Raw genomic sequence first — 26,992 nt, forward strand, 5'->3', positions numbered from 1 at the left:
AACTTATAAACAAAAGATTTTTATGGTCCTCAATAGTTTGTAAAAGGGTAAAACAGCTCTGAGAATAAAAAGTTTGAGAATCACTGTCCTAGATATGAATCAGCAAAATATGGCCTGCATATAAAAACCAGCTCATTGCCTGTTTTATAAAGTTTTTTTTTTTAGAACACAGCCACAACCATTTGCTTACCTGTTGTCATGTTGCTTTCATGTTGTAATAGCAGAGTTAAATAATTGCAACAGAGATAGTATTACTCCCAAGGCCAACTCCTAAAATTCTTACTATCTGGCCTTTTACGGAAAGAGTTTGCTGATCCTTGCCCTACAGCTTTGGTTCTCAATCCTAGCTGTTAAATAATACTAACGCCGCCTTCCCCTCAACACATACACAGAAACCATTTAATTAAATCAGAATCTCTGGGAGTGGTCTTTGAGTAGGAATAAGTTTTTTAAATTCCTCAGGTGATTTTGAAATGCAGCCAAGGTTAAGAATCACTGTGTTAAACTGTAGAGATCTTTAGGCATAATGTCTGCCTTCCAAGTTATTCCAGACAACAACTTATAAAAATTGCTCCCCTTTATAACATAGTTTATTTCCAGCCCCTAATAGAAGGGTCCTGCCCATGGGCCAAACACTAAGTCAATGCCACCTGCACTGATTTGTATTTTTGTTATATCATCAACACCCTACCACCACATTGAAATTCAAAGGTCATGTTAGAGTGTTTGCTCTGGCAAATACTTTGCAAATTTCAGTGGCTTAACACAAGAAAAGCTTTATTTCTCATGCAAACGGAGTGCAATGTGCTTGGTAGGGATCTCTGCTCCTCTTAGGGTTCTAGCTGCTTCTGGCTAGAGACCCTGCCATCCCGCAGTGCCTCCAAGTACTGTGCCAGATCCCTCTACATTCAACCAGTAGAAGAGAGAAAAGAAAAAGCATGGAGGATTACATGAGAAGTGTTTTAGGGGCCCGGATAAGGCACGCATTAACTCCTACTGCACAGAGCTTGGTCATATTAGCCACAACAATACAAAGAAGGGGCCGGGTGCAGTGGCTCACACATGTAATACCAGCACTTTGGGAGGCCGAGGCAGGCATATTGCCTGAGGTCAGAAGTTCGAGACCAGTCTGGCTAACATGGTGAAACCCTGTCTCTATTAAAAATACAAAAAAATTAGCTGGGCGAGGTGGCACACACCTGTAGTCCCAGCTACTCAAGAGGCTGAGGCAGGAGAATCGCTTGAACCCAAGAGGCGGAGGTTGCAGTGAGCTGAGATCACGCTACTGTGCTCCAGCCTGAGTGACAGAGCAAGACTCTGTCTCAAAAAAAAAAAAGGAACAAAATTCAGTCTACCTCTCTAACAAAGAGGAAAGCAAAACGGTTTGGTGAACCGGGAACTGGCTTTATCCCTTCATACACTCTTTCGTTACTAGTCTCCTATATGGAGCACCCCTCAGGCCCCTTGAGGTAGGTAGAATAACAGCCTACCAGAAATGTCCACATCCTAGTCCCCAGAACCGGTGAATATGTTTTATGGAAAAAAATGAACTTTTGCAGATGTGATTAAAGTTAAGGACCTTGATATGAGGAGATTTTCCTGGATTACTCAGGTAGCCTCAATCTAATCACATGAGCCTTTAAAATCAAAGAACATTTCTGGTCTGTGGTTAGAGACATGTGAAGATGGAAGACTGGTCAGAGAGCGCAATGTGGCTGGAGAAAGATGGAGGAAGAGAGCCGTGAGCCAAGAAAAATGGGCAGCCTCTAGAGGCTGGGAAAGGCAAAGAAAGGGATTTTGTCGCTTCCAGCCTCCAGAAAGGAATACGGCGCTGCCCATACCTTGACTTTAGTATAGTGAGACCTGTGCTGGATGTCAGTCCTAAAGAACTATAAGATAAATTGGTGTTTTAAGTCACTAACTTTGTGGCAATTTGTTATAGCAGCCATTGAAACCATACACCTTTCTCTTCCATGTTTGTACTGCTGTCAGTGACAGTCCTAAATTTCAAATCTTAATGGGTTATTCCTTTTCTCAAATTCCTTCAATCGCTTCTAACTCATTCACTTAATAAAAACACACTAAGCAACTACAATGTGTCAGACACTCTCCCAGCCCTCTGGATTGCCACTTGAGTGAGGCAGGCATGGTTGCTGCTGTACTGGAGCTTAGCGGATAGCAACTGCAAGACGCAACTTAAAACTCTTTAGCATGCCTTTAGTGCCTGCATGAGCTAACTCCAAACCACCTGCATAACACCATCTCTTGGCTCTTCTCTGTCAGAAAAAAAAAAAGCCATAAGACTTCTAACATAACGAACTCATTAAACTTCTAAGATTCCACAGTATTCCATGGCACTTTTTAGGACATTCCTGGCCACAGTATGAAACTTTGTTCTGCCCTCCCAACTCCTTGTCTACCTAGAAAACAATGACTTCTCTCTCAAGAGTTATCTCAGACATCACTCCAGAGAAATAAGTCCACTCCTAGATTCCCTCCTGTATTTCTCATTGCAGAGTTTATATATCCAATTTTGTATTTATTTTACTGAATTACAATTGTCCCTTTCCCCACCTTCATTATGGCTTTTAACAGATTTAGAGAGAAGTTCCTAGTAAATTTATTTTTAAATAAAGGTTGAGAGTTCTCATTCATTCATTCATTCTCTCAAAATAAGTTAATTAAAACATATACTTTGCCAGAACTTAATCTGCAGGAAGATAGATCGTATCATTAAAAAAATCCCAAAATAGGAAAACCTGGATAAGCTTGTAACGACCCCCCTTTTTTCCAATAGATCTTCCAACATATATCTACCATCCATTTCAAAGAGCATGCTTTCTAGAGAAACAAAATGGTGAGGAACTCTGAGAAGGCTATGTAATAAACATCACACTCAATATGGCTATAAAACTATGATTCTGCATGTTCCTCATTTACCAAACCCCTGAAATTTACTAAAACTATGTGAAGGTGTATAGTAACTGTAATTTCAACATAGACCTACAACCAATACCCCACCAGTGGATTAAGTTTATATGGATCACATCATTTAGATAGATTTATTCCATATGCCTACAAGAACTGGCAGAAAAAGCAGACTTTTTGTAAGCATTTGAAGTGTAAGACATGAAAATTATATTGTGAAACTATTTTGTTGTAATTTACTATTAAGTTTTTCTTGAAAAATAAGATCCTGGTCTCTCTCAAACAGTGACAAGTTTTCATGGAACGGTCAAGCACTTTATGCAAAATTCACATCCTACTTAGTTAAGTGGACAAGAATCATCCCCATAAATTATTAAATTCCCTCCCATCTGGATATTTTATGTTAACCACAGTGAACATTAATATATTTTATTCAGTAATATATCTGTTATATATGAATGGTGATCTGCTAAATAATTTACTATTTATGGAGAACATTTTGATAAATTATTACTGTCATTATTGCAGAAATTAAACTATTCTTTAGAGTCCAATTTTAATATATTTTCAAGCATTTCTTGAACAGTAATTATTTTGTATCTATTATGTGTAAGGTGCAGAAGGAGATTTTTTAAAAAAATAAAAAACTATCACTTGTAAAATAATTACCAGTTGGTGGGTAGAGAAAAAATTTATTTTGACCAGAGTAAAATTTATTCTGACCACAGGCACAAGATTTTTAATGTACAAATCCCAGCTGTCAATACATGAAGTTTCCCTGAACCTTTTCACTTTTCTTTTGTTAAGAACTCTCATCCAGCATCTAGCAGGCGCTGGATTCCTACCGGCCCTGCAGTTTAGTTTTCCTACACAGTTAATAGTAATTAGCTATTGTCCTCATCATCACTTCCAAACATGCTATTAGTTTTCCAGTGGGCATTGATTCTGTAATATGCAATCTAACCTTCTAACCACTATAGCACAGAATAACCAGGGAATTATCCCCTAGGAAAACAGGAGTTCTTTTCACCTCTAAGTCAATGATCATTAAAAACAACCAATACACTGTGAAGCTTGACAAATCACAATGGGAATAGGGACCCAACAAATTGCAGTGGTGAAGTCACAATTATCTAGCAATTAGGTTTATAGCTGTATCCACCCTTTAAATAATCAAGTCTACAAATGTACCCACACTTCTTCCTGCAGAACTTAATCTGGAAGGTTTCTAAAGCTTTCTTTCTTATTCAGGTTTCTGAAAGCAATTGCATCTGAGTGAAGTAATAATGACAAACCTTATGAAGCAGAAAGAACAGTAATTCATTTACTTAAGACTAATTTTTAAAAGGGGAGAATAATTGCCAAGCTCTATTTCCAAATGGAATATGTTCTGAGTCATCATAAAAATTTGGCTGCCAGAAGAGTATCTAGTTTAGTAAATAATGAAGGTGAATGCCCAATGTTTTTGGAATGCTTTCAGCAACAGGTAACAAACAGGAAGCCTGACTACAGTGGCTTGAAAAAAATGAGAAGTATTTTTCTCCCATAATGAGAAATCCAGAGTTTAGCAGTGCTGGGCTGGTTCAGCAGATCAATGATGCCAAAGACTCTGAGATCACTTTACTTTGTCCTCACAATTACAAAAAAGCTGTTGTGGCTTCTACAATTATATCCCCTTTCCAACAAGAAGAAAGAGGATGTAGCAAGGAGAATGGGTGGTACCAATATTTGAAAGTAAAAGTTTTATTAGGAAGCTCCCAGGAAACTTCTGTGTATGTTTCTTTGGCTATAATTTTGCCCCGGAGCCAGTCCTTGCAGAAAGGTGGCTGGAGAGAAAAGAGATGCAGAGAGAAAAAGAAGAGCAGCTTTTGACATTTCAGAAACTGCAGCTATATAGCTAGGCCTTGATGTTGTGAAAAGCTAGCTATGTTCATAAATAGGCCTTGATGATATCCTGTTGAACATAAACAAGCTTCCAAATCACCAACATCAGTGACCATGATGAACTGAAAAAAAAAAAAGACCACTCTATAACCTTGTCTAAGCACATAAACAAGATCATTGTGCAAACCACAAAAATACCAAGCACCTTCATAGCCTGGCTAATATCAGTAGCTGCTGCTTCTTTCCCAGTTTGATTCTTTAGCCTCACTTTATTTTTCCCATATTATAGATAAGATTTTTAAAATAAGCAATCATATATTTACCCCCAATTCCTGATAGCATCCAATTCAGAGCAAAGCCACTTTCTTAAGCCCTCCCCAAAAATCACCTGAGACCAGATCCTGTAATAATCCTTCCAAACACCCTCTTACTGAAATGCCCCACATTTCCCATGGTGTGTGGTCTCCTTTCTTGCATCTATTAATAAGTCAGACTTGCTCGATTACAGGTATGTTCCTGGTGGTCTTTAGCTGGATGACATTAACAACAGATTGGATCAACCAAACCACAGTATTTGTCACACCTTTGTTTCATTCTAGTCTATTTATAATTAAAATGATGTGCCTTAATATGGCATGCTTCAAAATCCTTAGCTAGAAAAGTAGCCATGGTATACTGAACAGAGCATATGATGAACCATCAGGGGATAAACACTCTAGTCCACTCTGCCTAATTAGTTAAGTGACCCTGGGAAAGTCATTTAAAATGAGAGGAACTGACCTCACAATAATCCAAAGAACCCACTAACACTCACATGTCTGAGAAATGGCGTAAAAATAAAGCTCCAAGAAATTAAGTACATTTTCCTTCTATTTACATTTTGTAAGTGGCAGAACCAGGATTTGAACCCGGGCAGAGTCTAAAAGCTTTCCATTGTACCATGTTGCCTCAACAGGCCCCAGCTTCCTCTATGAACTGACTAGGTTGGTAAACCAGAACCAGAATCTAGTAATGGCCCTTTTCATTCACCAAAGATTCTGAATGACAATTAATAATATTTATATTTATTCTTTTTTAGTCCCACCAGGTCTGTAGATGAAAGGTGCAAGACTAATTCGAGGTAATGTGCGTTTATGGAGTTTTGATTTTTAGCAAGCGCTTTTCTACATAGCATAAATCATAGATTTGATCTATCATTTGAACATCCAAGTCAAATCAATTTTCAGTTCCCTGTAATTTAAAATATGACGACTTTACTTAAGGAATTGTATGAGATGCTATACCAAGAAGGACTGAAGAAGTAAAGCCTTAACTTAAGTAAGGAAAGCAAGTGACATATCCTTTATCTCTACTCAATGCTAAACTTTAATACTTTTGCACACCTGTTTGGGATCCTTTACAAATAATAGACAAATACATACAAGAAATGAATTTATCCAATCACACAAATAATAAGGACAAATATAAAATTGTATCCATTCTACCAACAATTTAGTAAATATTTTTTAAAGAAATAAGCCGTGTAGAGGATTTGTGGAAATATGCACTGAAGGACCAGAGAAAGAAATGTTATTCTTTAACTTTCTTTTGGAAGGCAATATAGAACACGTATAAAACACTAAGATTTTTGCATATCATATTTGACCCACAAATTCATCCTATACAAAATCATAGTGGTGTAGAGAGTGAGCCACAAAATTGTTTGTAGAAATATTCATAGTGGATGAAAATTAGTAAAAAGGTAAAATGTTAGAAATTTATTTTTACCAGAGTAAAATGTATTTACTACTAATAATTATTTATTATTCTAAGAAGAATGGTTTAATAAACTATGGTTTATTTATACAATGAAAATCTGTGCAAGTATTAAAAATGAAATGAAAAAGCACTAAGCAACATAGGCAAATGTTCAAAATATATTACTAGGTTAAAAAATGTAAATTACAAATATGTGATTGTGTTTTTGTTTTATACATGTGTGTATATAGGAGTAAATGAATTTTTAAAAGGAGAAATATGCTGAGTAGTTATCTTTGGCAGGATCATAGATGGTTTTATTTTCTTCTTTTTATTTATCTACATTTTCCAAATTCTCTACCAGGAAAATATATTACCTTTATAATAATAAAAATATACTAAGTGAAATTTTAAAACAAATGCTAATACATCTCAGTCAATAAAAAATATACTATTCGGTATTTCAATACTAAATTCACTTGTCCTTTAAAATAAACAAACAACTCTGGATAAAAGACAAACATTCTCCATGAAGTAAACCTAGCTCACAGATGCCACGCCAAGGGCCATCTTTGTTCTGTCAACCATGAATGTCCTTTTCTTTAGAGGTTTGTTTTTCAAATAATTGTTTTAATTATCTTCTCTACTTTATAATTTGGAAATCTAGCTTAAAAGGAATAGTGTATGTGTAAACAAATTCTAAAAAACAAAATGATCAAAATAAGTATCGTTTATGTTATAAAAATTTTTCTTGTGGTATTACCCACATGAACTTCTGAGTGTTGTAAAGACAGTTTGTTTACTTAACATGTTGTACTTTTATAGTGTTATTTTTTGTAAGCCAATGCAATGTTGCCAATCAACAATTGTGCAAATGATCTTTGGAGAATGATGTTGTCAAAGGAGGAGGTTGTTTTTGGGTCTTCTGTTTTCTTTAGGCATTTTTCTCTTAAACATAGGAAGGATTTTCAAAAATCACCATCAAAAAAAGCCTGTGCCTTATTTAACTGCCACATTAATGATAGAAATTTAAGCATCACTGAAAAGAGAAGTTGAATAATTTACCAGCACAGAACACATTACAATAGCTACCTTGTATTGGTTGCCTATTGTTACTTATGTTCTTTAAGGTTTATTACTTTATTTAAACCCCACAGGCATCCTGCAAAGCAAATATGATTACCACTGTTTTGCAGATGAAGAAAATGAAGCTCAGGAAGTTTAAATAATTTGAAAACTTTGAAAGTTTAAATAATTTAATAAAATAGCCATAAAAATAATCAGGATTTGAACACAGGTCTCAGACTCCAGTGCTATGTTCTGTTCACTATGTACACTATGGGACTGGATTCTGATATGTCTGTTTTTCTCATTTGTTCCATATTGAGCACCTTAGAAAATGTGTCTTCTCACATCTATAATATGAACTAATGTGAAGTTATTCAAATGCATGATTCTGAAAAACCTTGAATGATTTAGGAAATCACCCACAATATAGTTTTGTATGTGACAGTGAGTATCAGCATGTCACTGGTATCTTCTTCTTCCACAGCTTGAGATACAGTGTTACTCTGCAGAAAAATTTCAAAGTACAATTTCAAGTTTTCCAGTATTTTTTTTAATTCTTTGCCCCAGTATATCCAATTATCCCCATAGTGTTTCTTCTGTACAAAGGATCAACACTGTTTGATTTCATCTTGCTAATAGATCCAAAACTAAATGTCCCTTCTTAGGCTGGAGGTCTACATGACTGCTCTCAATTCTGGTTGTTCCAGATCCTCCTTACTGTCTTGTGTTCAATGCTGAAGACCTGGTGTCCATGCCTAACATAACCTGAAGGTGCCTCTTGAATGGATCACATTTGGCTTTCCTTATGTCCTTGCTCACTATCATGGCTACCACGAGAGCCAAGGCAACCCACAGAGATGGACTTGAAGTGAGAAATCTACTCTGACCTTTGCCAGAACATCCAGCTCAGATTTTGGCCTAGGTAAGGAGTTCTTAACTGTGTCAAATTTGGCTTGAACTCCCAAAGTTGCAACTCTTTGCATTCACGGATACATCCACTTCTATTAGGCAAATGGGTTACCAAAATAATACGGTTTAGACAGATTCCAAGTAAAGCTATCTGTAGAACCAGAACCAAATTTTCCTTGATGCATTTTTCCATTCACTGGTTGGCTTAGTCACATCCTCTTAATGTATTCTTTATCATATCAGCATTTTTTTTGCACTTTATTGACATCTTGACTAGGTCAGCATTACCCAGTCTATCCCGTAGGTTTTAATAACTTTTAAACTAAAAAGAAAAAATATCTTAAAGTCGGGGTTTCTTTCTTAAAAGTCTTTCCTGTATAGTATCTCCTATATAACATCCATGTAAATAGGCTGCCCAACTTTCCTCTGCCAAAAATCTAAGCTCCATGTACCAAAGATATGCCAGGGGGTGTCATTTGGTTGCCTCTGTCTTGGATCCCTGAGCCCAGGGAAATTGCATAATAATATCCTGTTCCAAAGTTATATTGTCTTAGTCAGTTTGATCTGCTTTTTAAACAAAAATACGTTACACTGGGTGGCTTAAGCAATTGAACCCACAAAACCCAGTTCCATGTCCATAAACATAACTTACTCTACAGCTTTCCTTGAGGGAAAAAATTACATAATCTTAATAAGTACTACTATAATAAATTATATTAGATAGATATTAACTTATATATAATCTAGTTTAAGAATAAAATAGAATAAACTATTGGTTTAAAGGAGGGGTATCCAATCTTTTGGCTTCCCTGAGCTGTATTGTAAGAATAAGAATTATCTTGGGCCACACATAAAATACACTAGCATTAGCGATAACTGATGAGCTAAAAAAATAAAAAAAAAATCTCATAATGTTTTAAGAAAATTTACGAATTTGTGTTGGGAAACATTCATAGCCATCCTGGGCCACGAAGGTTAGATAAGCTTGGTTTAAAAAAGGAAGCACATTAATACTTTCAGGCTAAAAAGATATCATACAGAAAATTTTATTTGTGCTAGAAGAGATCAGAAGCTACAAGAGCATATGAAAAAATGATAGGCAGGAACCGCTCAAAACAAAGACCGCATGAGGACCTCCTGGCCCTGATACTGTTATACATTTTCTCATCTTCTACAGGAAAGATTTAGGCAGAAAGACTGTAAATATTATATTTCTGTTTGATTAAAAAAACTGGTCCTGCTTAAAGTATTTCTGAAGATTTCCTCCTGAAAAAAAATCAATAATAACAACAACAATAACAACCTCTCTCTTCTTTTCTTGGGTCAGTCTGGAGATACATTTCATTTATATTTGTGCCAGAGAAAGTTTCTTCGTCCTTTTTCTTTTGTTTTAATTAGGGGGAAAATGTTCTTATCAACTTTACATTATATCATCTTATCTTGGTTGGCCAGAATCCCAGAGAAACTTGTATAGGTTTTAAATTTCTTTACTTTTGCTCCCTGTAGAGAAGCCATATTTTGCTACACTCAGAAAAATTTATTGCCAAAGATTGATGACTCCTTACATGGGAAATTTAAATACACACAGTGTCTGCACTTTTAGACTGTTTCAAATAGTATATTTAATTTTACATTGACTTCCCTAAAATCATCTAATGATTTATTTTAACCTCTTTTATGCAGAAGACATTCTGATAACAAAATGTGTAAATTATTCAAGAGAAGGAAAACATGTTACTATCATTAAAGAAAAACCTTATTTCTAAACAAAGCATGATTAAAATTTAGTCCTTACTTCTTTACTTATATTTTAATTGTTTTTTTAAAAATCCTTTTGTTTATAAACTAACACACTGTAGGAAAATAGAGAAAAATAACCTAGCCCTTATTATTACAATGAATATTTTTTAAGACCTGTAAACTGCTAGTCATTCCTAAATCCCAGTGGCAGGGAGCAGGGGTGGTGGTAGAGAGACTTAAAAACAGCAAAAACAAACACTTCAGCCACACTAAAATCAGAATTGCTTGAAGGACCCTCATTTCTTTTTTAAATTTAAGTTCTTCTACCCCATCTATTCCCATTGTGGTGATAGAAATAATAAAGCTTTAATTTAAAGTCGAAAATTAATATATTACAACAGATTTGAGAGCAAAGCGCTGGAACTAGACAACTTTCTGTAATCGAAACCCACAACAAAGATAAATTAAACTTCCTATAATTTTATAAATTACAGAAGGAATACCTGTAATTACCCACATAAATGATGATGAAAATATTTGCCCGTAGGAATTGGAATACATTTGAAGGGAGGCTGCCTTGTTTGCCATGCTGAAAAAAGAAGGCATGTTGACACGCAGGAAAATAGTAGTGCATTTTGGATAGCAATGAGAAAAAGGACTTTAAAGAAACCTGATAAACAGGACATGGATGTTTTCTATGAGGAGATTCAACAAGCCCAACTAAACAAGAAATGACCTGTGACAAGCAAAACTACCCCTCCACACACACACACACACACACACACACACACACACACACACTCCACCTTTTCAACCAGCTCCTAAAGCGCACTAGCTAGCAGATAATCACCTAGAGCAAACCAGGTGTGATGTGCATTTTCATGTAGATCAAGCCTGAACCATCCCACCCGCCTCCCATCCCCAGTAGAAGACAGTTCTACAGGCTCTACAAACCACAGAATGCCAGCATCTAGAAAACTGGCAGAGTTTCCAAATGTTAATCCCATCATAAAAGATGAACATCATTTCAGTCCAGCTAAATTAGAAATATAAGATGATGGAAATGGCATGCATTACTCCTATAACCAGTCATCCAAAATAAATGGGCTCATTTATATATAGCTTTGCTATTTAAGAGATATTTGAAGGCAGTCAAGCTTAAAGTATAAGTTAGAACATGTCATGTCAAGCAACTTAGAGAATCTCATAACTAATGTTATTTTTACCCTGAATGTACAGTTCACATTCATTATTCCAGGTAGAAGCTTCATCAGCATCCCCTAGCACATTATGAATTCCTAATCCAAGACTCTCTCGTCTATAAGCAATGTGTTTCTTCTTTTTGCTGTAAATGATATATGGACTCCAGAGAGCAAAGTTTCTCTGTAACACATCATTCCAAAAAGGCTCTTCCCACCTCCATCCCCAGTAGTAAGCAGATTCTTTGCAGAGTTTCCATTTACCTACTTGAACACAACGGTGATTTAAAAATCTTTATGTTTATTATACAATCATAATGGGATGAACACCTTTCATAAAGAATCCAGTGCTCTTCAAACAGAAGTAACTTACTTTGTACAGCTACAAATATCTTAGTATCTTTTTAAGGGAAAGTATCATCAAATAGAACTATTCTCAGGGTAGACCCATTAAACCAGTCACAAGATAAAGAACATAGGTAAATACTGTTCTTAATTGCCTGGACAACATTCTGTAACTCAATCGAATACTTTCTAAAACTATATATGTCCGTAAAGTAGTGTATCATTTTATTTTGTCACCTAGTACTTAAAAGCAGTGTTAGAAAGTGCATTGAGTCAAAAGTGAGCAATTCAAATTCTACAGCTATGAGCCTCTCCATCTTTATTTTTTTCTTTTGTCAAATATTGTATGATTCTAGAGGCTAAAACAGTTCCTACAAATGCCTACCCAGAAAGGAGAAGCAAGCAAAGGAAAGAAGGGAGGGAGGAAGGAAGCATGGAGGTAGGGAGAAAGACACCATCTACTTGGTCCTGCTCTGTAATACTTGAAGGTTCTCCCTGTGATTTTATTCTGTCTTTGGATCTCTAACAACCCAACAGCCACCATTAGTCACAAAAACACATCTGTGTTTAAAAAACTGTCCACAGAAAATTGAAGTGAGTGATCTATACATCACAGAAACAAAAGGAGAGAGAGATGTATATATATATATATATATCCTTTTTCTACACTATTATATATAATAGTAGAGAAAAGCCTCAACACAAGAAATAAGGTTATTACACACAAAACTTAGATATCCCGGCCAGGCATGGTAGCTCATGCCTGTAATCCCAGTACTTTAGGAGACCAAGGCTGGATGATCACTTGAAGCCAGGACTTCAAGACCATCCTGGGTAACATAGTAAGATCTTATCTCTACAAAAAATACAAAAATTAGCTGGGCATGGTGGCACGCACCTGTAGTCCTAGTTACTCAGGAAGCTGAGGCAGGAAAACCACTTGAGCATAGGAGTTTGAAGCTGCAGCAAGCTATGTTCATGCCACTGTACTCCTGCTTAGGTGACAGAGTTAGACTCTGTGGAGAGAAAGGAAAGGAAAGAGGAAAGAGAAAAAGAAAGAGAAAGGAAAGGAAGAGAGAGAGAGAAAGAGAGAAAGAAAAGAAAAAAATAAAGTTAGATATGCAGAGATTTTGAGATGACCTACAGAATTCATATGGATCCACAATCCTTATAGCTAGATCCTTATATGATTGCTCCAAAAATGTACATTCTGGACCTAGCACATTAGCTAGCCCCCCAACAATTCTTAATTTCTAGTAGATATGGCAGAATAATGTTACATGAAATGGTGGTATCAAGTTGTTATATGAGAATGACAACATAGGAATCCTAATAAAATGCTTGTAGATGGTCTTTGAGGTCAGTTAAAAATCACCAAATATTTTTGACGGCAATATCTCTAGTACTTGTACCTCTGTTTATCTGTCATTATCTCAAGTCTTAGTTCCTATTGATTAAATCTATTTAGCAACAGTTATAAAATTTTTCTTCTAGATGTGAAATGGCCATAGGGACTCTACTTCCTGGTTAACATGTCTTAATGAATCACCACATTTTCATGTTTTCCCACAGGAAAGGAACATGGTAAAATAGAAATAGGTTAAGATGTAATGATCTCCCCCTTTCCTGAATATGCCTCTGAATCGCTCTGTGTATACCTCTGCATTCTTTCATTTGCATATAAGGAAACCACTATGGCTTATAGCTTTTACAAACTGATGCCAATAATGGTCACATATCTTACAAAGATCTAGAATTTATTACAAAGTAATTAAAATCAATAACAACAACAAGAAAACAAACTTCCAAAAGGTCAAAACTTTAACCAATCTACATAATCACTAAAATTTAGCACCAAGTATTAAAAGCAAAGACATAAAAGCAATCCTGTGATGAATTTCCATACACATAAATATTCACTAAGTAGGAAAATACCTGATTAAAGAGTTAAAGAAATTTTATTTGTAACACTTTCCTTAAAGGGATTTTTCTTTTCCAAAATAGTATAAATCATTGTATTTTAGACCTCCTACTATCTACTTTATTGGTCTAAAGATTATTGGTACTTTAATGATAAGTTAAATACATTTTAACAGAAAGATAATTAAATGAACACTTGAAGTATTAACATAATTACATATAGTCAGGCAAATTCTGTGTATGAGATGAAATGTCATTCCAAAAGTATCTCATTGCTGTTTTTGTGTCACATTTAGACATGAGACACTGAGTATATACTTGTCGGCTAAGTGTTCACAAATCCTACTAAGGGCATGTATTGGGGGACTTGGCATTGCCAGGTTGTAGAGAGTACTTGCATCTCCTTGCATCAAATTTGGATGAAATTCTAAAACCATATAGGCTGCTCCAGAATACATCCGGCTTCTGGTGGATAAATAGGTCCACCATTTCTGGTTATTTTTCTAAGTAAGTTGTAAAAACCCTCCCTATGTAAGGCCTATTTGACAAGTATTTTTTCTAGTACATAAAACTAGAATATGATAAAAAATTTTTATAAACATAACTCAACCTAAAACTCTTGAAATATCTTATGGTTTATGACAACACACACATTCAATTACTGGAGACACATACTAAATACTACATATTTGTTGATAAAGCTGAAACTCCTAAACCTACCAAAAAGGCCTTCAAGACTGCCACCAATTCCATTTTCTTCCTCCACAGTGGAAGACTAAAAACTGCCAATCAATGACTAATCTCCCCTGTTTCTGCTATCAGAACTTGTCTGTATACAAGAGCAATGTGCTCATCTCTAGGAGGTGATGAACAACCATTCTAAGGTGATAATCACAATGTTCTTTCCCTTTGCCATATAGTCATTTTTTCACTCTCCTTTGCAACTAGGAGGGATATTTTCTAATAAAAGAGACCAATGGAGCTGGACTCTCCCCTTCCCTCTTTCTTCTTCTTCCTGCATGGATATGATGCCTGGTGTTGTGGTAGCCATATTAAAAACCGTGGGGCCTTCAGCCAAAGGGGAAAAAGCCAGCAAATGAAGGAAGGAGAATGCAAGGTAGAAAGAGCCTATATCCTTGACAGCATCATGAACAATGGGAGCAATGCCAGCAATTTTCTATATTCTTACTTCTTGCTCTGTAGGAAAAAATAATTCCTTATTTACTAAAGCCACTGTTGGATTGTGGCTGGCAAGATGTCTGAATAGGAACAGCTCCGGTCTGTAGCTCCCAGCGAGATCAACGCAGAAGGTGGGTGATTTCTGCATTTCCAACTGAGGTGCACAGCTCATCTCACTGGAACTGGTTAGACAGCGGGTGCAGCCCATGGAGAGTGAGCTGAAGCAGGGTGGGATGTCACCTCACACAGGAAGCACAAGGGGTCAGGGAACTCCCTCCTCTACCCAAGGAAAGCCCTGAGGGACTGTGCTGTAAGGAACAGTGCACCCTGGCCAAGATAATATGCTTTTCCCACGGTCTTCGCAACCTGCAGACCAGGAGATTCCCTCCGGTACCTACATCACCAGGGCCCTGGGTTTCAAGCACAAAACTGGGCAGTCATTTGGGCAGACATCGAGCTAGCTGCAGGAAATTTTTTCATACTCCAGTGGTGCCTGGAACACCAGCAAGACAGAAAAAGTTAGACCCCTGGAAAGGGGGCTGAAGTCAGGGAGCCAAGTGGTCTAGCTTAGAGGATCCCACCCCAAGGGAGCCCAGCAAGCTAAGATCCACTGGCTTGAAATTCTCACTGCCAGCAGAGCAGTCTGAAGTCAATCTGGCATGCTGGAGCTTGGTGGGAGGAGGGGCGTCTGCCATTACTGAGGCTTGAGTAGGTGGTTTTCCCCTCACAGTGTAAACAAAGCGGCCAGGAAGTTTGAACTGGGCGGAGCCCACCACAGCTTGGCTAAGCCACTGTAGCCAGACTGTCTCTCTAGATTCCTTTTCTCTGGGCAGGGCATCTCTGAAAGAAAGGTGGCAGCCCCAGTCAGGGGCTTATAGATCAAACTCCCATCTCCCTGGGACAGAGCACCTGGGGGAAGGGGTGGCTGTGGGCACAGGTTCAGCAGACTTAAATGTTCCTGCCTGCTGGCTCTGAAAAGAGCAGCAGATCTCCCAGCACAGCCCTTGAGATCTGCTAAGGGACAGACTGCCTCCTCAAGTGGGTCCCTGAACCCCGTGACTTCTGACAGGGAGAAACCTCCCAGCAGGGGTCAGCAGACACCTCATATAGGAAAGCTCCAGCTGGCATCTGGCAGGAGCCCCTCTAAGATGAAGCTTCCAGAGGAAGGAACAGCAGCAATCTTTGCTGTTCTGCAGCCTCTGCTGGTGATACCCAGGCACACAGGGTCTGGAGTGGACCTCCAGCAAACTGCAGCAGACCTGCAGCAGAGAGGCCTGTTAGAAAGAAAACTAACAAACACAAAGGAATAGGATCAATGTCAACAAAAAGGACGTCCACACAGGAACCCCATCTGAAGGTCACCAACATCAAAGACCAAAGGTAGATAAATCCAGGAAGATGAGGAAAAACCAGCACAAAAAAAGGCTGAAAATTCCAAAAACCAAAATGCCTCTTCTCCTCCAAAGGATCACAACTCCTTGCCAGCAAGGGAACAAAACTGGATGGAGAATGAGTTTGACCAATTGAAGGAAGTAGGCTTCAGGAGGTGGGTAATAACAAACTCTGCCGAGCTAAAGGAGCATGTTCTAACCCAATGCAAGGAAGCTAAGAACCTTGGAAAAAAGTTAGAGGAATTGCTAACTAGAATAACCAGTTTAAAGAGGAACATAAATGACCTGATGGAGCTGAAAAACACAGCACAAGAACTTTGTGAAGCATACACAAATATCAATAGCCAAATTGATCAAGCAGAAGAAAGGATTTCAGAGATTGAAGATCACCTTAATAAAATAAAGCATGAAGACAAGATTAGAGAATAAAGAATGAAAAGGAATGAACAAAGCCTCCAAGAAAATATGGACTATGTGAAAAGACCAAACCTATATTTGATTGGTGTACATGAAAGTGATGGGGAGAATGAAACCAAGTTGGAAAATACTCTTCAGGATATCATCCAGGAGAACTTCCCCAACCTAGCAAGGCAGGCCAACATTCAAATTCAGGAAATACAGAGAACACCACTAAGATATTACTCAATAAGAGCAACCCCAAGACACACAATCATCAGATTCACCAAGGTTGAAATGAAGGGAAAAATGTTAAGGGCAGCCAGAGAGAAAGGTCAGGTTACCCACAAAGGGAAGCCCATCAGACTAACAGTGGATCTCTCTGCAGAAACCCTACAAGCCAGAAGTAAGTAGGGGCCAATATTCAACACTCTTAAAGAAAAGAATTTTCAACCCAGAATTTCATATCCAGCCAAACTAAGCTTCATAAGTGAAGGAGAAATAAAATCCTTTACAGACAAGCAAATGCTGAGAGATTTTGTCACCACCAGGCCTGCCTTACAGGAGATCCTGAAGAAAGCACTAAACATGGAAAGGAGCAACCGGTACCAGCCACTGCAAAAACATAACAAATTGTAAAGACCATTGACATTGTGAAGAAACTGCAGCAACTAATGGGCAAAATAGCCAGCTAGCATCATAATGATAGGATCCAATTCACACATAACAATATTAACCTTAAATGTAAACGGGCTAAATGCCCCAAGACACAGACTGGCAAACTGGATAAAGAGTCAAGAACCATCAGTGTGTTGTATTCAGGAGACCCATCTCACATGCAAATAAAGGAATGGAGGAATATTTAGCAAGTAAATGGAAAGAAAAAAAAAGCAGGGGTTGCCATCCTAGTCTCTGATAAAACAGACTTTAAACCAACAAAGATAAAAAATGACAAAAAAGGAGCACCCAGACTCATATAATAAGATCTTAGAGACCTACAAAGAGACTTAGACTCCCACACAATAATAATGAGAAACTTTAACACCCCACTGTCAATATTAGACAAATCAATGAGACAAAAAAGTAACAAGGATATTCAGGACTTCAATTCAGCTCTAGACCAAATGGACCTAATAGACATCTACAGAACTCTCCACCCCAAATCAAAAGAATATACATTCTTCTCAGCACCACATCACACTTATTCTAAAATTGACCACATAATTGGAAGTAAAACACTCTTCAGCAAACGCAAAAGAATGGAAATCATAACAGTCTCTCAGACCACAGTGAAATCAAATTAGAACTCATGATTAAGAAACTCACTCAAACCACATGACTACATGGAAGCTGAACAACCTGTTTCTGAATGACTACTGAGTAAATAACAAAATTAAGGCTTAAATAATTGAGCTCTTTGAAACCAATGAGAACAAACATACAATGTACCAGAATCTCTGGGACAGAGCTAAAGCAGTGTTTAGTGGGAAATGTATAGCACTAAATGCCCACAGGAGAAAACAGAAAAGATCTAAAATTGGCACCCTAACATCACAATTAAAAGAACTAGAGAAGCAAGAGCAAGCAAACTAAAAAACTAGCAGAAGACAAGAAATAACTAAGATTAGAGCAGAACTGAAGGAGATAGAGACATAAAAAGCCCTTCAAAAAATCAATGAATACAGGAGCTGGTTTTTTCAAAAGATCAACAAAATAGACCAGTTGCCAGACTAGTAAAGAAGAAAGGAGAGAAGAATCAAATAGACACGATAAAAATGATAAAGGGGATATCACCACTGATCCCACAAAAATGCAAACTACCATCAGAGAATACTATAAAAACCTCCACGCAAATAGACTAGAAAATCTAGAAGAAATGGATAAATTCCTGGATACATACACCCTACCAAGACTAAACAAGGAAGAAGTCCAATCCCTGAATAGACCAATAACAAGTTCTGAAATGGAAGCAGTAATTAATAGCCTACCAACCAAAAAAAGTCCAGGACCAGACAGATTCACAGCCGAATTCTACCAGAGGTACACAGAAGAGCTGGTACTATTCCTTCTGAAACTATTCCAGTCAACAGAAAAAGAGGGACTCCTCCCTAACTCATTTTATGATGCCAGCATCATCCTGATACCAAAACCTGGCAGAGACACAACAACAACAAAAAAGAAAATTTCAGGCCAATATTCCTGAAGAATGTCAATGTAAAAATCCTCAATAAAATACTGGCAAACTGAATCCAGCAGCCCATCACAAAGCTTATCCACCATGATCAAGTTGGCTTCATCCCTGGGATGCAAGGCTGGTTCAACATCTGCAAATCAATAAACATAATCCATCACATAAACAGAACCAATGACAAAAAACACATGATTATCTCAATGGATGCAGAAAAGGTCTTCAACAAAATACAACACCCCTTCATGCTAAAAACTCTCAATAAACTAGGTATTGATGGAACATACATCAAAATAATAAGAGCTATTTATGACTAACCCACAGCCAATATCATATTGAATGGGCAAAAACTGGAAGCCCTCTCTCCCCACTCCTATTCAACACAGTATTGGAAGTTCTGGCTACGCAATCAGGCAAGAGAAAGAAATAAAGTGTATTCAAATAGGAAGAGAGGAAGTCAAATTGCCTCTGTTTACAGATGACATGATTGTATATTTAGAAAACCCCATCATCTCAGCCCAAAATCTCCTTAAGCTGATAAGCAACTTCAGTAAAGTTTCAGATACAAAATCAATGTACAAAAATTACAAGCATTCCTTTATACCAATAATAGACAAAAATAGAGCCAAATTATGAATGAACTTCATTCACAATTACTACAAAGAGAATAAAATACCTAGGAATACAACTTACAAGGGACGTGAAGGACCTCTTCAAGGAGAACTACAAACCACTCCTCAAGGAAATAAGAGAGGACACAAACAAATGGAAAAACATTCCATGCTCATGGATAGGAAAAATCAACATTGTGAAAATTGCCATACTCACCAAAGTAATTTATAGATTCTATGCTATCCCTGTCAACCTACCATTGACTTTCTTCAAAGAATTAGAAAAAACTACTTTAAATTTCATATAGAACAAAAAACAGCCCATATAGCCGAGACAATCCTAAGCAAAAAGAACAAAGCAGGAGGCATCACGCTACCTGACTTCAAACTATACTACAAAGCTACAGTAACCAAAACAGCATGGTACTGGTACCAAAACAGATATATAGACCAATAGGACAGGATAGAGGCCTCAGAAATAATGCCACACATGTACAACCATCTGATCTTCAACATTCCTGACAAAAACAAGCAATGGGGAAAGGATTTCCTATCTAATAAATGGTGTTGGGAAAACTGGCTAGCCATATGCAGAAAACTGAAAAATGGATTAAAGACTTAAATGTAAGACCTAAAACCATAAAAACCCTAGAAGAAAAACTAGGCAATACCATTCAGGACATAGGCATGGGCAAAGGCTTCATGACTAAAACACCAAAAGCAATGGCAACAAAAGCCAAAAGTGACAAATGGGATCTAATTAAACTAAACAGCTTCTGCACAGCAAAAGAAACTAGCATCGGAGTGTACAGGCAACCTACGCAATGGGAGAAAATGTTTGCAATCTACCCGTCTGACAAAGGGCTAATATCCAGAATCTACAAAGAATTTAAATAAATTTACAAGAAATAAACAACCCCATCAAAAAATGGGCGAAGGATATGAACATAAATGTCTTCTCAAAAGAAAACATTTATGTGGCCAACAAACATATGAAGAAAAGCTCATCATCACTGGTCATTAGAGAAATGCAAATTAAAACCACAATGAGATACCATCTTACACCAGTTAGAATGGCAATCATTAAAAAGTCAGTAAACAACAGATGCTGGAGAGGATGTGGAGAAATAGGAACGCATTTACACTGTTGGTGGGTGTGTAAATTAGTTCAACCATTGTGGAAGACAGTGTGGCAACTCCTCAAGGATCTAGAACCAGAAATGCCATTTGACCCAACAATCCCATTACTGGGTATATACTCAAAGGATTATAAATCATTCTACTATAAAGACATGCACACGTATGTTTATTGCAGCACTATTTACAATAGCAAAAACTTGCAACCAACCCAAATGCCCATCAATGATAGACTGGATTAAGAAAATGTGGCACATATACACCATGGAATACTATGCAGCCATAAAAAAGAATGAGTTCATGTCCTTTGCAGGGACATGGATGAAACTGGAAACCATCATTCTCAGGAAACTAATACAAGAACAGAAAACCAAACATGGCATGTTCTCACTCATAAGTGGCAGTTGAACAATGAGAACACATGGACACAGGGAGGGGAATATCACAAACTGGGGCCTGTCAGTGGGTAGAGGGGTAGGGGAGGGATAGCATTAGCAGAAATACCTAATGTAGATGATGGGTTGATGGGTGCACAAACCACCAAGGCACGTGTATACCTATGTAACAAACCTGCACGTTCTGCACATGTATCCCACAACTTAAAGTATAATTTTTAAAAGGTTGCCTGCATTAGATAAATAATTTAAAATGAAAATGCCACTGTTAGTCATGTTCTTTATTACCTGCAGCCAACGCAGCCTATTCAATAACTTCTGCTTCATGCCTGCAATGCAGTCCCATTGGACATTCATCATTGCCCCAAACATCATACACTTCCCTATCTTCATATCTTTTTTCTACCTAGCTTTGCATATAGTATTTATTACACTTTATAAAATGAAAGATATGAACTGGCTGATAAAATGTTAAGTTTAAATAAGTGGTCCATAATCAGATAAATCAGTCAAAAATTAATCGCTTTCTACTTATATGTAAGGCACAATGCTACAGTTGATTTAAATGTTGAGTTTTTACTTAATGATTCTATATGTTCCCAAATGACAATTTCTTGTGCTTTGTTTTTATACATAAACAAAAGACTTCAATACTAGTTTGATATACAAGATGGTTGTCTAAAGGACAGGAACCAGCTCTCCTGCTGTGTTTTATAAAATGTCTACTTATTGCTGATGCTCAACCAATATTAAATTATAATAATACTGCTGTGGGTATCATTTAGGTTCCCTGACATTGTTACAACTTGCTATTCTGTTTTTGAAGCGTATGAGATCCTATAATAAAATTGTTTTATGGAAGTGGATGCAAACTACATACGGTTTGTCAGTCAGCTTACCTGGGTCTCTTTAGGAATGTGTTCTGCTCAAATAAAGACGTGTTTTAAAATTCTGTATTGGTATGATTCAACTGCAGGAAAGTAAGACTCATAATTTACTATAATAAATTACTTCTCAAAAACATTTATTATCAGACTGCAATGATTCTCAATCCTAAAATAAAAAATCATTCTTTCCTACAAGTAAACCAAAGGAGGGCAAAATGATTTTTTAAATATAAAACTAAGTTTAAATCATAGCTCTACCTAAAAGTATTCCTAGGAGATTTTTTTTATCATTTTTTAAATTATTGCACTTAGAAGAAGCATATAATAAAAAGAATTTCGAACTCATTCACATAGCTATTACTTTAAAGGGTATCATCGAAAGTTCTGAGATGGTCCAGCTGGCATTTGTCAAACCTCAAAGCTTCCAAGGAAGTCTTTATGTTTCATGGAATTTTGCTTGAAATTGCTTTAGCATATCAACTTAAGGAATGATTAAGGGAATTAAAGCTAGGGATTATCCATTCAACTGTTTGCTCATCCACACTATTTCAGAAACTCTACAAATACTTTTTCTTTGGTTGCTTAACTCTATCTTTGTAATCAGCCCTTCAGCTAAAGTCAAAGGGGAATTATCTTTATTGAAGAAGTCTAAAAAATTTTTGGAGAAGTTCTTTGTGATGGAATAACCGTCACTTAAATCCACTTTTATTTTACTCTTTGACATTTATCCCAGAGAAATGAAAATGTATGCTTATACAGAAGACTGTATACCAATGATTATAGTAGCTTTATGAGTAATAGCCAAAAAATGGAAGCAACCCAGATGTTTTGCAGCAGGTAAATAGTTAAACTGCAGTACATCTATACCATAGAATACCACTCAACAATAAAAAGAACAAACTATTGGTACACTCAGCAACCTAGATGACTCTCCAAAGAATCATACTGAATTTAAAAAGCCATTTCCCAAATGACAATTACAAACTGTGTGATTCTATTTATATAATAATACTTTCGTAATGACAAAATTTTGAAACTGTAGAACAGATTAGTGGCTTCCAGAGGTTTAGGATGGCATAAGGATAGAAAGGAAGTGGATATGGCTTTAAAAGGGCAACATAAAGAATCTTGTGATTAGGAAACTGTTTGTATCTTAACTGTATCAATGTCAATATCTTGGTTGTGATATGGTACTATCATTTTATAAGATTTTATCATTGGGGAAAAATTAGGTAAAAGGATCACTCTGTATTATTTCTTATAACTGCATACAAGTCTACAATTATCTGAAAATCAAAAACCTTCTGCCCAGCATTGATTTCCTCTTTTTATAACAACACCCTAATGTTTCTTGCAGCCACTTTTCCTTATTTTCAGTCCATGTGGTTCAGATGTTCAAAGCCAACCTTGGACTTAGTAGGTGGACCTGTAATTCAGACCCGATCAATGAGCATAGTCTATCTTTTTGACCATAGTGATTGGTTCATGAATAGTCATATGATTTAAGTTGGTGCAGTATACTCAAACCTATGGGTTTTACTAAACTATAAGAAAGGATAAGCCCTTTTTGCTGAAGTTGCTAAGTATTGTTAAGTAAAAGCTCCAACCAACAGGCCCACCACATCAAATGTGCCAGTCAGAGAATGTAGTACAAAGGAAAGCAAAACCAAAAGATGCAAAGACTTTAGTCTTAATGACAAAGTTTGTGACCCTGGATTCAATTGTGTCTGAAAGTAGTATATTCTCTGGACTTTTCAGTTATATGAACTAAAAATGCCCTGTTTGTCAGTTAAAAAAAAAGTTTAATTTTAAAAGATCTTTAGTGAAGATTAGAATCACATTCAGTATCTAACACAGGTATTTCTGTAAACAATGTAGCAAAGTTTGAAACACTTTTCACCATAACAAAAATATTTCATTATTCCACTACCAACAATTCTGATTTATATTTTATCTCTTAAGTGCAATATTAGTTCTCCTCCTCTTCAGGTCTTGGTGTCTCATTAATTATCTTGAACAAAGCGCTTTTGGTGTATGCTGTATTTTTGCTGTACATTTTTTATTGAGATGTAAACTCTTATTGATTTGTAAGAGATTTTTGTATATTAAGAATAATAGGCCTCTTTGTATCACATACATGAAAAATGCTTTTTTCTACTGGTCATCTGTCATTCAACCTCACTTGGACTGTTTATCTGATATAGAAGTACATTTTATTTTATTTTATTTTATTTTATTTATTTTATTTTATTTTATTTTTTGAGACAGGAGTCTTACTCTGTCACCAGGCTGGAGTGCAGTTGCACATCTCAGCTCACTGCAACCTCCGCCTCCCGGGTTCAAGCAATTCCCCTGCCTCAGCCTCCAGAGTAGCTGGGACTACAGGCATGCACCACCACGCCCGGCTAATTTTATGTATTTTAGTAGACACAGGGCTTCACCATTTTGGCCAGGATGGTCTCGAGCCCCTGACCTTGTGAATAGATGTAATTTTTATATTTACGTTTGTCAATCTTGTTTTTTATTGTTTCAGTTTTTTTGTGTTATGCTTACAAAGGCCTTCCCACCCTAATATTACATTTAAAATCTAATTATATTTTCTGCTGTTAGTTTTACAGGCTTTTAAAACAAGTACAAATTATGTAAAGAACACTGTAGGAATGATGTGTTTCCCCAAATTATTACATATTGGATAAGCATTTATTCATTAATGCATTTTTCCCTACTGATTCAAAATGCTAACTTTATTATATACTAAATATCCCTATACATAGTTGGATCTGAGGTTAGATGTTTTGTTTCTCAACCATCTATTTCCTAGCCAGTTCCACATTGTTTTAACTTCAGTGTTTTTGTGGTACATCTTAACACCTGACAAGGCAAGGCTCATTCTTCATATTTTTGTTTTTCAGAATTCTTCTAGCTGTTCTTGCATGTTTATTCTTCAAAGTAAAATTTGAAATCATTTTATCAAGCTCCTCACCACCTTCCCACAGCAAATGAGAATTTTGATTGATATTACAATGCAAATAGAATAAATTCAAACAGAATTGACCTCTTTTAAAAAATAAAGCCTACTTTTTCTAAATTGTGTCTCCCCACTTAATCAAATGTTTTGTAATGTTCTCAAATCTTTTATTATCATATAAAATGTTATAATTTTACATATCTTGTTCATTTTACATTTCTTAAGACTATTTCTAGATATTAAATGTTGCTTAGTTATAAATGTAAATGGGATAATTTCCGTTTGTGTTTTCTATTCAAGAACGTGTTAGAAATCTACTGATTTTATTTATTTTACACCATCTACCTTAAGGAATACTCTTATTTTCTTAAGTCTGCAAGATCTATTTTTTAAAAAAATATTTTCAAAGAAAACTTGTTGATTTAAAATAGTTCAGGAAACAACTAAGTGATTGTATAATTTAAAATGGGAAAAGTGACTGCTGGTTTAAAATATAAATTTAAAATTTAGACACACACACACACACACACACACACACACACACCAACACAAATATATCACAAGAATCCTTGGATTGGGACATGTTTTCTTTTAAAATTTGAGTATTAGCAAAAGCAAGGAATTCAGTAGCTCTATGAACCACTCACTGTTTCCAGAGCTCTTCCACTGGAGCACCATTTTGTTTCCTTACAAAGAGAATGGACTTCCCTTAGATGGCTGCTCCAAGCAATCACTCTTTTTTAATGGTTCTCAAAAATAAAATGTTACCATTTAAAAATCAGAAAAGAAAAAACATCTCATCTGATGCTTGTATTACATTTTCTTTTACCGGATTCACAGCATATGATTAACAATGCACATAAACTTGGCTCTGTGATTTTGTGTTTAGATAATGATTGAAATCCATTAAACTATCCTTTTATGGTTGATATTCTGTCAGCTGAACATCCAGCAGATTCTTTTTATAGAAATATGATTTGATCTGCAATGTCCTGGAACATGTTTTCCCAGCTATTTGGCTTCAAGTTTATGGTAATTACCAGGCATTATCTCACAATTTCTACTGCTCCCAGGAACATTAAAATCCCACCACCCCTAGAAGCTTTTCTTGAGGATGAACCGTGGAAATCCTATGCCATTCCCTACAGGCTCTACTCAAGTGATAGGGTTTGTTTTTGTTTTCTTTTAACTGTTTCTTGTATTAAGCCTTATTTTTCATATGTCTTATCCCTCCAAATCACTTAAAATTTCCTCAGGAGGAATAAGGAAGAATTAACGTTTTGGGGCTCTCAGTACCAGCCTGGTCTCATTGCTTTGAATACATTTTTTCATGGCAAATATTAGTTATTATTGACATTTTATCTCCTGAGATACCTACTTCAGTGCCCAATGAATAGATGCTTGTTAGTTATATAACTGAACAGTCATCAGAGTATTTTTTTCTTAAATAATTTCCATCTAAGTGAAACAATAGCTCTTTTATTTTTACTTTAAGTTGCCAATGTAACAATAAAAGTTCATTGTGAATCAAGATATGTAAGGAATTTGGTGGCATTTTTTTTTTAGAATTACAAAACGTCAATAGCTTTTTATTAGTGGTATAGTTTCTCTATGAAACACCCTGAACTATAGTAGAGGCTTGCTGAAGATATAGAAGATTCATTTGTCCTTTCATAGCAGTTCCTTTGACCAATAGTTTCTGCTTAACATTAGTCACTCATTCTGCTTATTTTCTCACTGATTCTGCTAATGAGTCATAGATTATTTTGCATCTAAATCTCAGAAGTGTAGATCAAAGTCCTTCATGTGTAATGAAATGAAACTAATAACAGCAACCATTTATTGAGTGATTGTTATGTGTCAGGAACTGAGTGTCCTACTTGTGTAACTGCATTTAATTATCGTAACTACCCATTAGGTTGATGCTATTATCATCATCATTTTAAGGATGAGTAAACTAACTCTTAGAGAAGTAAAGTCAGACAATGCAAAGCCTAAACTTTTATCCATTTACATATACAATGAAACAACATAAGAATTGCAAGAGTGAAATATCTACTTTCCTAGTGAAGTTTATATGAAATTTGGGATACCTGTGGGGCAGCCATTA

General features: G+C 36.2%; 2 annotated features.

Annotated features, from left to right (window-relative positions):
• Positions 385-1,079: an enhancer, noted in NCBI's record as "OCT4-NANOG hESC enhancer chr4:105836828-105837522 (GRCh37/hg19 assembly coordinates)". NCBI's record gives its function as "activates a minimal SCP1, AML or CMV promoter by ChIP-STARR-seq in naive H9 embryonic stem cells {active_cell/tissue: H9 hESC(naive)}" and the evidence as "EXISTENCE:reporter gene assay evidence [ECO:0000049][PMID:30033119]".
• Positions 15,363-15,702: an enhancer, noted in NCBI's record as "active region_21771". NCBI's record gives its function as "activates an Ori minimal core promoter by ATAC-STARR-seq in GM12878 lymphoblastoid cells {active_cell/tissue: GM12878}" and the evidence as "EXISTENCE:reporter gene assay evidence [ECO:0000049][PMID:35858748]".

Source organism: Homo sapiens, chromosome 4 (assembly GCF_000001405.40).
Source record: "Homo sapiens chromosome 4, GRCh38.p14 Primary Assembly".
Lineage (NCBI taxonomy): Eukaryota > Metazoa > Chordata > Mammalia > Primates > Hominidae > Homo > Homo sapiens.